This window comes from Homo sapiens, chromosome X, assembly GCF_000001405.40.
Source record: "Homo sapiens chromosome X, GRCh38.p14 Primary Assembly".
Classification (NCBI taxonomy): domain Eukaryota; kingdom Metazoa; phylum Chordata; class Mammalia; order Primates; family Hominidae; genus Homo; species Homo sapiens.
The window spans coordinates 86,148,249-86,162,304 of NC_000023.11; the positions used below are offsets into that span (position 1 = coordinate 86,148,249).

Consider the following 14,056-nt stretch of genomic DNA (forward strand, 5'->3'; position numbering starts at 1 on the left):
CTGGATCTCTGTTCTTGGTCGAGCCTGGACCCACTCAGGTAGTCGGACGCCGGCCAGGGAGTCTCCACCTCCTCACCAGCGGCAGCCATTCGGAGCGCTCGGGCGCAGAAGGGCTGGGGCCCATTGGCTGTGGGACGCTGCCAGTCTCCGGAGGGGGTGTGGTGGGGGTGGGGTCTGGGGCCGCAGCGGGTCGGGGCTGCTCACTGTTTGTTGAGCTTGAGCGTGAGCCGGCTGCTGAAGACTTGCGAACAGTTCGGAGCCAGCGAGAGCGCGCCAGAGAGAGCGAGAGTGAGGGAGTGAGTGCGAGGGGATCTAGAGGAGTCAGGGCGAGAAAGCGAGGGCCGGAGGACCCACGATAGAGACAGAGTGACCATGGCTGTCTCCGCATCTCCAGTGATCTCTGCAACTTCCAGCGGCGCCGGCGTCCCGGGGGGCTTATTCCGGGCCGAACCCCTGTACTCGACTCCCAGAGAGCCCCCTCGTCTTACTCCTAATATGATCAATAGTTTCGTGGTTAATAACCACAGCAACAGTGCCGGAGGCGGCGGCAGGGGCAACACCAACACCAACGAGTGCCGCATGGTCGACATGCACGGGATGAAGGTGGCTTCGTTCCTGATGGACGGCCAGGAACTGATCTGCCTGCCGCAAGTCTTTGATCTTTTTCTCAAGCACCTGGTGGGAGGCTTGCACACTGTGTACACCAAGCTGAAGAGACTGGATATATCCCCCGTGGTGTGTACTGTTGAGCAGGTCCGGATCCTCCGCGGGCTGGGGGCCATCCAGCCCGGGGTAAACCGCTGCAAACTCATCACCAGGAAAGACTTCGAAACTTTGTTCACCGATTGCACCAATGCCAGGTGAGACACTCGTTTCTTGGCTCTCCCACTTCTCTTACCCCTTTGGCCTCTTCTGCATGCCTCACCACCCTCATCCAACTTTGTTTGTAGAGTGAGTCTTAACTAGTTTGCCTCTATTCTTCACGCTGTAAATCGGTGGGGAAAGAGGACTAGAAGCTTTCATTAATGCTGGTGCCTTCTAGTCCACGCTCAGTGCAAGGGCTTCGGTCTAAAAAAGTCCCGCAAACTTGAGTTTGCAGTCCTCTATTGAAACTTTCCAGCCTTTTGCCCATATCTTGCATGGCTTTTGGCTGTTCGTGGTTATTTGTTAATTTCTCTATTTGGTTTTCTTTCCTGCTCTTTTGTGGCCGCACGGGTCGGATAGGTTTTCTTCTGAACACGGATACCAAGGGCTTTCTCTGGGGGCTGGCTGAGCTGTAAACTGGGCTCCTAAGCTGGCAAGCCAGAACACAGCATTTGGGGCATGCAGGGGGTGGGAAGTCTAGAATCCATCCCAGAGGGTGATTCGATCCCCATCCCGTGTGTTTGTTGTGAGAATGTGTGGGGTGTGTGGTGTTGTTGTTTGTGGTGGTGTTGGTGTGTATGTGTGCAAGTGCGCGTGAGAACGTATGCTCATGCTTGCTGCGCAAAGCTCCCCAGTACACGATACAGGAAAGTCGATGGATACTATTTTTACAAAAGGACGACGACAAATATCACTTTCCTGGGATCGTCCGTTTTGGGTTATCTGCAGAGGGCAATGTGGGGCATGAACCACTGTGGCTGGGACTGGATTGGAGGTTGGTGTACAAGTTGGCAGATTTCTAGAGAGGATGCTCTCAGCTCTTCCAGGCGAACAGTTGGAAGGATCCCATTCCCTTAAAGACAGGATTCCTTAAATGATGATGGCCAGCTTCCCTGGTTGTAAGTGTACCTCCTTCATATCACAGTTTAGAAGTACACTAGTGAATAAATGTCCATTTGTATATGAGAAGCAAATTGTGTTCAATGTTTCTGAGTTTAAAAAGAAAAAAAGTATACTCAAGATTATCTGACTTTTTAAACGCCTGTGAATTAGTCTTCTAGTGTTTATTCCATCTCCAGTTTGGTAACATCTCAGGAAAGCACAGATTTGGCACAAAAATCACCATCACGTGGTTAAAAGGAGCAAAGGATTTTGTTGTAAAACAGCACTACTGCTTATTATTTTGCAAAAATAAAATAAAAAACCAACAACTTTCTCAAAATGAACTTTAAATCATAAAATCTCTGGGTCTGTGAACTAAAACTGTAACAGTTTGCCACATCTGTTGTAAAATCCAAATTGCCATGTATAGTTGAATGATACTGACAACTTGTAGGCAAACTGTTGCTTACTGCTGCAATAAGATAATGCTGCAGAACTTACAAGGGAAGCTTTTTCCTTCTTCTTTTTTTTCTTCAATTGAGCAGTGTTTTTCTGTGTTCAAGCAATTAAACAGAAAACTATTTATGTGAGAACTCCTACCTGATTCATATTTAGGGCTTACAAAGCTGGTTTATTATATCAGCTTTTCTTAAGGAAGATAGATGGCCTGAAAACACAAAGGATAACAGCTCCCTCAATAAAACAGGCAATTATGGATTGTAAGAGTAAAAAGACAATTTTATTTCGACTACAAAGCATTTTATTAGTACACAAACTAAAAAGGTTACAAGGGACTTCAGATAGTGGCCATCTAATTCATTTGTTGCCATCCAAAAACACTCAAACATTTAAATAATTGCAGACATGAAAACCTATTCTCTTATTAACTCTCTCTCTTTATCAGTCTCTCATCTCTCCATCCCTGTTCTTTCTCTCTTCCCCCTCTCCCATCTCTAAAAATGCCCATTCTTAAAGTGGAACAATTATTACACTTAGGAAATTCTTCCTTCCTCAATTAATTTGCACATTCTTGAGAAAAACCTATGACCATGATTTTCAAATAAATAGATTAGTATTTTAATATGATTTTGATACTTTTCTCTATAAATGGAAACTTTTCCTAATTTTTATTAGAGCTACTTACTAAAAAAAAAAATCCAGAGGCAGGTGATCTTGTAATATTTTTGGACCCTGTTATACCATGTATTTTTAGGTTATTATTTTATCTAATTAGCTTTTATTTACTGCTTATCACAGCAATAGTAACTTTTCATGTGTGTGAATTGCTTTTGTGTATGTGTGTGTATAAAGGTGATAGAGAAATATTAAATATGTAGGAAGAAATAGATCTGTGATGTGATTCATGTGGCTTCTATTGCATTTTCTTTTCTTTACGGGTATTTGGTTTATTATATTCATATTTTAAAACTGTGTTACAAGTATTGCAATTTTATTAATTGTAAAAATTTATGAAGTATATTCTATGAATGCAATCCATCAGTGAAGATGAGGAAAACTACTAGAAACACACCTAAATTGCAATTTTAGATAGAAGACAACCACAATTTCCGGGAAAAATCTAATTAATTATAAAATGATATCAACAAATTTTGCTGATTCGAAGTGCCCTCCTAACCACATTATTAAAATTACAAAATATAATAATGCATTTAATAAATGCTTTATGATGTTAGGTAAGATTATTTACAGAAATGTATACTTTAAGTTACTCCCAAAATCTGAATTTTTAAAGAAAATTGCAAAATTTTTAGATCAACATTATTTCTGTGACTTTTCTACTCAGTGAAAAGAAAGGTAAGGGATGTAAACAGGAAAGAGGTCCAAGAGAGACAAAGTAAGGTAGATGAGACTCGAGGCCAGTGAGAGAGTAGAAATGCAGGAAAAGAGCAGAGTGATGCCTTGAGACAGAGTGAAAGATGGAACAGAAGAGCTTATAGAGATGCCCCAAGATGAGTGATGTACCAATGGAGATCTGGCTAAAGAGGATTGTCCTTCAGGACTCATGACTTCTTAGTGCTTCTAGCTAAGAGCAGGGAGGGAAGTGCAAGGAAAAAGTAAATGTTTAGCGAATAGAAACTCTTAAACACTATTCTTATTTCAAAGAAGAGATTCATCTTCATCGCTTGATGGATAAATGTTCATAATATGTTGTTGAATGGAAGGCCTATTTGTAATGGTGTCATTGGCAATTTTCTCTTTCTGTATAATAAACATTTCTTCCCCTCTCTGTTGAGTATGTGGGGAAGAGTACAAGTCCTGACTTAGAGCATTTGGAATGCTTTCTGTGCTATCCCAGAAAACACAAAGTGGACTGTTTTCAAATTGTTCATTTTCAAAGACCTTAAGGTATTGCCACTAAGTGACATTTTGATTTGCTTCAGTGCCCATTATGTGCACTGAAGAAAAATGAATGAGTAAAATATATACATAATTGTTTCTTTGATAGTACTGAAAGTCACAGCAAGAACTACCAGTGCCTTTTATTAACTATTTTGTTGTTAGCCAATTATAAAAATATTCAGTTGTCTTCCTGGAAAATAAGTTAAGAAATAATATCTGCTTCAACTGCTAGAGAGGTAGTAAGATTAAAACTCTTGACCATTCATTGTTCTGTTCGACAAGTCAAGGTTTACATCACTGTAATTTCAAAGAACTGTACAACATTTTTCCTTCATGACTGTTAACTTCCAAAATTAATTATAAGGATATGATTTTGAGGATTATTTTTTAAATGATGATAAAAATAATCAACACTAAATGGGAAAAATTACTATACTGTTTTGGATTTTGTTTTTTGCAGATAAAGCACTGTGATTTCTGTTTAATATTTTGTGCAAGAAAACTTAGAGTTTTTAATACCAGAGAGAACAGGCAGGTTTAGAAAGTAAATGTTGACAATTTTCACTCTTATGCAATAGATTTTTCTTACTAAATTCTCCTAAGTTTAATGAAGCAGTAAAATAGTAAATTAAAAATTGTTTTTCCTAAATATGAAAATTACTAAACAATCAATAAATTTTAGTGTTTCTCTTTTTACCTACCTATCAACATAAAAGTAAAATATTGTCAGATTTCATGACCAGCATTTAATTTTGTTTGAGGACCAACTGATTAATGTTATTCGGTCATTTAGAGTTAAATGGGTGCTTGAAGAAACAAGAAAGTATGATTAAGAAAATATTTTAGTAATGCATTTGGAGACATGATTCAACATATATTCAAACAAATAGAATTCAGTTTTTAAAGTAAAATTTCCAATTGTGGTTTCTTGTTATTTTGATAGTATATAAACAGAACATAAATATGGTTTTATATTAAAGAGATTTTTAATATCAAAGCACATTTTACAACATTTTAAAACTATTTTCAAATACTAGAAATATGGTTATTATGAGCGCTCAATGAGTTTGGCTTTGTAGTCACACTTGATGAGTACTTTATAGTTCATGATCCATACAGAGTAGCATAATTTACTTTGAAAATTTATGTTTTACATTTACAGTTAGGCAATGTCAAATTTTTGCAGAACTTGAATCACTTTCCTGAGTTAATATTTTGTATGGCTTACATTTTCAGTAATGATAAAAACATTTTAGAAAAGAATCTGTGTAGTAAATGCACATTTTATTCTATAGGACAATGAAGAGATAGTCATATTGTCTGTTAAAAGCAGCCACATGGTCAACAATGCTCTGTCCTTTATGAGAAGAATGATGTCAGGATTATAATTAAAGCAATTATAATTATATGCCAATGCATAGACTTTCCATGTTTACATTCATTTTAAATATACGCTTCTGAATAACCAACAGTTTTGTATTTAACTACTTTAGCTGGTATTCATATGTGCCTCACTCATTTATTAGGTGATGGTTACTACATTAAAGAAATGATCCATGACATGATGCAGTATATCTTTGGATTTTTATGTATCATATTATCCTCAATGTATAGCACATGAATGTCAATAAATAATTAGGACATGATGGTCTTCAGACATTAATGTTTTATATGGTTTTACACAGGAAATACCTAGTTCCTATAGAAGATATCAAGTCTGAATTATTTGATGCTTTCTTAGGTAACCTTATTTTGTCTTAATGAAATTCATAGATGTCTTTAACATGCTTCTAGCAGACAAATATAATTGTGAAAAGCCTAATCACAACATGTTATATTTCAGTTGGGAATCTAGCTATCCAGTGGCACTTTATCTTATGCATTTAGAGATACAAATGATTTGGGGTTATCTACTCTATACATTTTAAATATGTATTAAAACCATCCTAATTGATCCAAAACTGAAAATATTATGTTTTTGTGAAAAAGACATCAAACCTTTCCCTCAAAGCAAAACAATTAGGTATTAATGATATTCTTGTTGTATATTCAAAAAGCCTTTGGTTGCATTTATTTCCTCCTTTTCTTCCCTTTCACCATCTCAACCTGCAAAACTCTTCACTGTCACTTCAGATCACACAATTCTAAAAAGATAAAACAACATTTAAACACATTTGCTTTGGACGGGAAATTGAGCATTTGTACCCAATAAGCCTGATTGTGGAACTGCATGCAAATTGTGTTTTGATTTATCTCTTTTACACTTTTTTCCATTTGAATTGATCTTGCATTAATTTCACCAAGCGGCTCTGTGAGGCTGCAGATGTTGCCCTGTGTTTAATAAATCAATGAGACAGATCTGAATGAATCACTTCAGATGGATTCTCTGCTCGGTTTGATGTCTAGATGTTATTCTTAGCTTGTTATCATGACAGATGCATTAATGTTCCCATACACTGCCAGCAATGTCAAAGAGATTGAAGCTTTTAAAGTGGCGGCATCCCTTTTTCCATTTTCTGCTAGAACAACTAAATTTATTTTATTTGAGAATCAGAGAAAAATACCAAATCAATCTTAAGATTTTTCATGGGAAAGAGTCTCAATACTCATGCTATATTGTGAACTATTCCAAAATGGTGGAGATCAACATATTAAAGCCTAAATATAGTGTAGCTGCTTAATAGTGCCTCTACATTAATATTTAATCATAGGAGGAAAAATGAGAATTAGTAATATATGATTGGGACACATTGAAAGTGTCACTATAAATAGAATAATACTGTATCCAAATTGATTACAGAAGGGTGTTAGTTTTTAAATCCTTACTAATAAGCTTTTTGTTGGCTTAATGCAGCTGCAATATACTCTTATGAAGGGATTTAGAACCCCTTCAGGATTTAATATTTTTTTTAGTAGAAAGGAGACAGCCTGTCCATTGTGTATTCATCATTTATTCACTTGGTAATGCTGAAAATCCCAGGAAAATTTATTTCATTTTAATATATTTATATTCTTGCTAATTATTTGTAAGTCATAAATTATCCAGTAGCAATAAATGCTTTTATAGTTTAATTTCTTAAACTACAGAAACGCATATGGTCACCAAAAGGAACTTTGATATAACGCTAGTGAAATTTATTACTTACCTGCATTAAATATCATAACTACCGTACTTCATTTCATTTAACCCATGGCTTTGTTTCCTTGATTCTGAGAGAGAAACAATGCTGTCAATTGATGTGAAATATTTTGAATTTAATATTGTAGGTGATATAACTTTTCAGTTAGTCTGATATTTGAAAATGCAAATTTTAAAAAGGAGGTTCAAATTTTCTCTTATTCAGCTTTCTGAAGAATATATATTTTAAAAATCAGTTTTTAGATGTAGATCCTCTTTGAAAGCCTACACAGTATTCCTTAATCATAATTTTATTCCTACCTTTATTAGAATAGGAAAACAGTAAACACCGTTAAATGATACTATTTAGATCTCAAATTCAGGAAAAATTGTATCTCCAGTGGTTAGGCTAATGTTGGATGTTTATGATATGTATACTATTACCTATGGTAGAGTTTAAAGAAAAGTTGAAAATGAACTTCAATAAATTATGGAAAATAGTTAACTTTTTTTCAATTTTTCTTTAAAATGTGTAAATGCCTTTATGGTGGTATCTCACCACATCCTTCTTCAACACTAAATTTGTATGTTAAAATTGGTGAAAATATTATACTGAGACTGTGAATTTAAGAAGTAACACAAATTGTTTTATGCAAAATTGAATATGTTTTAAGAAAAAGATATCTTTATCAATACCTATCATGGTATCCTTAAAAAAGAACTGAATTTGTTACATAAAACAAAACCTTGGGTTTTTAATAATAATTTCTGAGGAGTCATTTTTAACTCCAGTAACGTTCTTTGAAAAGGTTCATTAAGCCTAATGTTCTGTGTATATTAGACATTTAATTCACATTTGTTGAATGAATACAACTATGCATACACATATACACACGTTTATTCCTCTTATTAGAATTCTTTGCAGTATATGACGTTCCTTAACAAAAGGTAAGAAATAGTTAAAGTATGCAGTTATTGAAGATATACTAATCCTGAAATTTTAAATCCAATATAAAACAATTTGTAATCATGCCATAAACCTTTCACAAATACACATGTAAAGGTATCAAAATCTAATATATGAACTTAGAATATTTGAAATGAAGTATATCTTCAAAGCAAGTATGACTTCTTGATATTTCCCTTAGGTGAAAACCCAGTAGAGATGCTCAAATATTATGAAAAGGCAATAATTAATGAATAAAGTGAGCCTAAGACCATAAAATGATTATTGGTGATTTAGATTTATACTACTTGATATGAACACTAACCCTTGTGGCAGTTGACTTGTGATCCTGTTTTCAAACAGTAAATGCATGTGTATTCAAAATGAGTTGGTAAAAGGAGGGTTTTCCTCCCTTCTTTCTAGTCTGTGAATAGAATACAAATACATGTTAAAAAGAATGATTTGATTTTTTTCCTGAATAATCTTAAGGCCCAATCCAATGAAACTCAAATTTGCATGAAGTATCCTCCTCACCACCCATTTAAAAGAATAACTTAGTTCTTTCAGGTGTAATTAATTTTGAAGAGTAAAATTTCCTTTAATCTAGGAACCCTGAAGTTGAAACTACTCGTATCTGTGTACTATTTTGACCCATCACAATTACTTTGTTTATTAGAGCAAATTGTGGTGGAAACTTTGTAATTATACTACTGGAAAAAGTATATGGTACAGGAAAGTTAAAAAATAATAAGCCACAGTATTTTTATTGCTATATAATATTTTTATTTTTAAACAAATTGACTGTTTAATGGTGTGTAATGTAGTGTGTATACAAAGGTATATAGCATTCGATTGCAATTGTGTACAATGATCTTATCAGGTTGCTGGCAACTACTAGCTAGTAACAGCATTTGGGCTACATTTAGTCTATCTGCTATTTATGTGATGGGTTAAAAAGAAAAAAGTAATATTGATCTGTCGCCGGATTAAAGTTTGAAATGGGCAACAGCCTGAACACAAAAGCCTTTTTTTTATGATTTCTCAGCTTGCCATTGATCTAGTTTTATTGCATTCATTATTTATTAAAAGAATTTGCAAGCTAAACATAACGTTAAGCTAGTTTGCACACAGGGACCGCACTTAGGAAATTGAATGGAAATTGCATTAGAGATGAACATCTGTGCTATTTTTCCACTCATGTGTTTATGGGTTTGTATAAAAGGTGTATTGGATTAACAGTTATAACCATTATAGCTTACAGCAATATGTTAGTTTCTGAGCTTTCAGTTATTTTGAGAGAAGTCTATCTCTCATGTTTGTCTAAAAAGTATAGTACTATCATCACAAACAATATTAATTATGTATTTATTTTTACGAACAGTATTTAGAAAAATTTATTTTTATTATCATATTGTTAATGCATTATGTATGTTATGTATACATTATGAGATATCCTGCTATACTGAAGTAAAAACATTTTGAAAACATATGTAATTATCATATAAGACTATACTATCTCTTAATGGCCTTTGGTAGCAGGGTATATAGGTGCAATTACAGAGCACCTATTTTAAGAATCTTGAGTTTAATGCCATATTAAAGCATACTAAATTCACAGAAACTATATAAAAACTTTAATATGATAAAAAAGATCATCCATAAAATATTATATATGTAGTCAAAGCCTTGATCATTCTAAAATGATAGTAAATGCGCAGACACTGAAGACTTGCTCTATATAACACTACTGATGATAAGATGGGATGCATTATGATATGGTTCCCCTTTTGGGTTCAATCCAAGGAAGTTTAATTACCAAACCGCAAGTTGACCTCCCCAGAGGACATAAGTTAGACGTCAGTGAGTATGGGTTTTTTTTGTGTATGTGTGTTTTGTTTTTGTTTTTGTTTGGGACAAGGTCTGGCTCTGTCACCCAGGCAGGAGTGCAGTGGCAACCAGTGAGTATGTCTTTTGCTGTATTGTCTTTAAGCTGTAGACATTTGGAAAATTCATGTCTATCTATTTAATTATTGGAATTTAAATAAAAACTTCTTCACAACCATTTTGATCGCTCATGATTAGATTTGTTATGATAGCCTGTGCGTGTGTGTGTGTGTGTGTGTGTGTGTCTATCCAGTACTTATTAAGGGTATTCTTTGTGGTGCCAGGCAGTGGTCTAGGTGCTAGGTGCTGTGAACGAAATGAACAAAACGGTCTGTTCTTTCATGGACCATACAGACTACCATCATCCTATCATTAGCTTGGGGTGTATAAGCTGTATTATCCCTCCTAGTATATTTACTAAATTATGAAATATTTGAGATTACAAAATTTTGCCACATCTATTATTGAATAATCCTTAAATTTCCTTTCCTATATCTGCCTCATGCATTATATCAGTAAACATTAGACTTTTTTCAGTCTTCGGAATTATACCAGAAAAGTCCAACTAAAAATAGTTATTAAGATACAAAACAAGGTATTTTAGTTTTATGAGTGCAGAAAGTGTTCTTATCTTATAAAGTACACATAAAAAGGAGCATGAAATAAAACATGTATTTCCACTTAAGAATGACCATAGTTAATTGACCTTAGTAACTTTTTATGATATATATTTGTTAAAAGGGATATGAATTCTTAAAATTCATAAAGTTAATCAATCCATGAGACACACGTTTTTGTTATAAAACATGCAACTGTGGATTTTTAAAAAAATTATGTTAAAAAGCTTGCTTTGATTTGTGTTAAGAGTTTTAAACTAGTAAGATCCTCAATCTTAGAGCATCATTTGCTTTGCATGTGGTCCTATACAATATTATGCCAAAAATTAAAACAGAGATGAGAGTTGTTTATTTTTGTTCATCCAGAGTACATTGACCCTTAAATATGTTATATTTAAATGTAAATAACTTTACAAAACCAGATTATTTGCAAACATGTATAATTAAATGTTTAATGTTACTGTTAAGCTTGCTGCTTTGAAAATATCCTGTAATCTGCTAAACTTCTAAATTTATTTTGTAGAAAAATCTGTGAGTTCCCTCTAGGTTTTTATCTGAGGTATGCAAAAGGGGAATTTGTTCATAGAAAAAAAATTACTCCATAGTACATTTTATGCAAAGCATACAATCTTTAGGTCTCACTTTATAAGCCAATTAGCATATTCACTTTAAACATGATATTTTCCAATTCAATTCATTTCAACAAATATTTAGTAAGCACCTACTATGTGCAAGGCTCCTTATCAGGGGAAGTGGTGATACTAAGAACTTGCCACATTCTTATTGTCTCATCTCCAGATTATCTAGGTTGAGTTTTATTGTTTCATGGTTAACTCTCAGCTAACCTACATTAGTGGAAGGAAGAGTAAACAATACATATAATTCAAAAACGTGGAAAATTAAAATAACATTGATTTGGCTTTGCAGTGCATTATAAAATGTTCTCAGCATATTTACCTGTCTAAATATATTTTACTTATTCTAATATTAAATTTTATTTACTTTTTTCTGATTAAACTCTCTTTTAATGGGTCTACAAAATTGTGTGACAGATTTTGATCAAGTTGTTTCCATTAAAAAGTACTGATTTTAAAAACTAATAACTTAAAACTGCCACATGTAAAAAAAAAAACAAAAAAAACAAAGTGTTCCACAAAACATTCTGCCTTCCTTCTAAAGATTTTACAATGCATTGTTATCATTAACCAGTCTTTTACTATTAAACTTAAATGGCCCATTGAAACAAACAGTTCAAAGATTCTTCTTCCACCACTGATTAAGACTAGGGTGGCAGGTATTAGGGATAATATTCATTTAGCCTTCTGAGCTTTCTGGGCAGACTTGGTGACCTTGCCAGCTCCAGCAGCCTTCTGATCCACTGCCTTGATGACACCCACAGCAACTGTCTGTCTCATATCACAAACACCAAAGTGACCCAGAGGAGGATAGTCTGAGAAGCTCTCAATACACATGAGGTTGCCAGGAACCATATCAATGATGGCAGCATCACCGGACTTCAAGAATTTAGAGCCATCTTCCAGCTTCTTACCAGAACGGTGATCAATCTTTTCCTTCAGTACAGCAAACTTGCATGCAGTGTGAGCCATGTGGCAATCCAGTACAGGAGTATAGCCAGCACTGATTTGGCCTGGATGGTTCAGGATGATCACCTGAGCAGTGATGCCGGCTGCTTTCATTGGTGGGCCATTTTTGCTGTCACCAGCAATGTTGCCACAACGAACATCCTTGACAGACACATTCTTGATATTGAAGCCCTCATTGTTCCCAGGAATAAAGCTTTATTTCATTTCACTCGAAGCTTTATTTTATTTCACTCAAAGCTTCCTGGTGCATTTCAACAGACTTTATTTCAGTTGTAACATCGACTGCAGCAAAGGAGACCACCATACCGGGTTTGAGAACACCAGTCTTCACTTGACCACCAAGTACAGTACCAATGCCACCAATTTTGTGGACATCCTGGAGAGGCAGGCGCAAGGGCTTGTCAGTTGGACCAGATGGTGGTAGGATGTAGTCCAGAGCCTCAAGCAGCGTGGTTCCACTGGCATTGCCATCTTTACAGGTGACTTTCCATCCCTTGAACGAAGGCACGTTAGCAGTTGCCTCCAGCATGTTGTCATCATTCCAACCAGAAATTGGCACAAATGCTACTGTGTTGGGGTTGTAGCCAATTTTCTTAATGTAAGTGCTGACTTCCTTAACGATTTCCTCATATCTCTTCTGGCTGCAGGGTGGCTCAGTGGAATCCATTTTGTTAACACCAACAATTAGTTGTTTCACATCCAGTGTGTAAGCCAGAAGGGCATGCTCACTGGTCTGCCCATTCTTGGAGATACCAGCTTCAAATTCACCAACACCAGCAGCAACAATCAGGACAGCACAGTCAACCTGAGATGTCCCTGTAATCACGTTCTTAATGGATACAGTAGTCATTACAGGTGTTAGCAGATCAAAACCTGGCAAATTACATGAGGCCAGTTACTGACTTTAACACACCTTCCTGTGTTCAGAACCCCTAAATAACCATCTTCCTTCAGTTAAATAAAAATTTCTTGACACCAGAGGAATTATAGCTTTGGATTAGAATGCATTGATGAGTATAACTCTAAATCAGATTTTTGTGAAGCGTTTCTACTCTGTGAAGAGAATAATTAATTGATTTTCAGCTTGCAATTAAGAAAAGGAACATTATATAGTCTTGATGCTGATTATATCCTGTCAAGAGCAGTCATTTTCATGATGGGCACATATAGAACATTGTGACCTCTAAAGAGAGTAGTAACTGCTCCAGTGTTTAATTGGTATACGTACATTTGATATAGCCACATTCTTAAATTTGCAGTTCTTTTGCGTTGTTCCTTGTCATGCTAGAGGACTGACAGGTTTTTGTTATTTTAGGGGCATGTTCTTTTTTGTAAAGTCGTATGATGTTTACATAATCCCTATTCTGCCACAATCTAAAGCTTTTATTATTCTTCCTTGTTTTAAAGTGAAAGCAAGTTTATCAAGAAAGTAAAGGAATAAAGGAATGACTACTCCATAGGCAGAGCAGCCTAAAGCTTTCATTATTCTTTACAGTTTTGTCTCATTGAATTGAATGACAGATATGCTGTGTATTCAGTTTGGTATTTTGTTTCTTTTTTTTTTATTTTTGTTTTTTTGTTTCCAAGATGGTTCTCAGTTTTTAAATGTAAATAAAATCCAAGAATTCCTTTTTTTTGAGGTCTTTCTCTACATTAGTGGGAAATATGTAAAAGCCTTTGTCCCATATGGATTCATGTTCCTTCAAAGAAGGGGCAGTGAAGCTCAATAATTTAGTTTTCTGTTTAGTTAGGAAGCCTCTTGATTTTACAGACAGGTGGA

At 35.0% G+C, this 14,056-nt stretch overlaps 1 protein-coding gene and 1 pseudogene across 7 annotated transcripts in view; one reads left to right on the plus strand and one right to left on the minus strand.

Annotated features, from left to right (window-relative positions):
- The window catches only part of DACH2 (dachshund family transcription factor 2), a 684,152-nt gene continuing 670,298 nt past the window's right edge, over positions 203–14,056 (plus strand). For all 7 annotated transcript variants that reach the window (XM_011530846.3, NM_053281.3, XM_017029254.2 and 4 more), the window contains exon 1: positions 203–860. In XM_011530846.3, coding sequence (XP_011529148.1) covers positions 373–860 — 488 coding nt within the window. In that variant the 5' untranslated portion in view covers positions 203–372. The remainder of the gene's footprint in view (positions 861–14,056) is intronic.
- On the minus strand, positions 11,678–13,120 carry EEF1A1P29 (eukaryotic translation elongation factor 1 alpha 1 pseudogene 29; annotated as a pseudogene).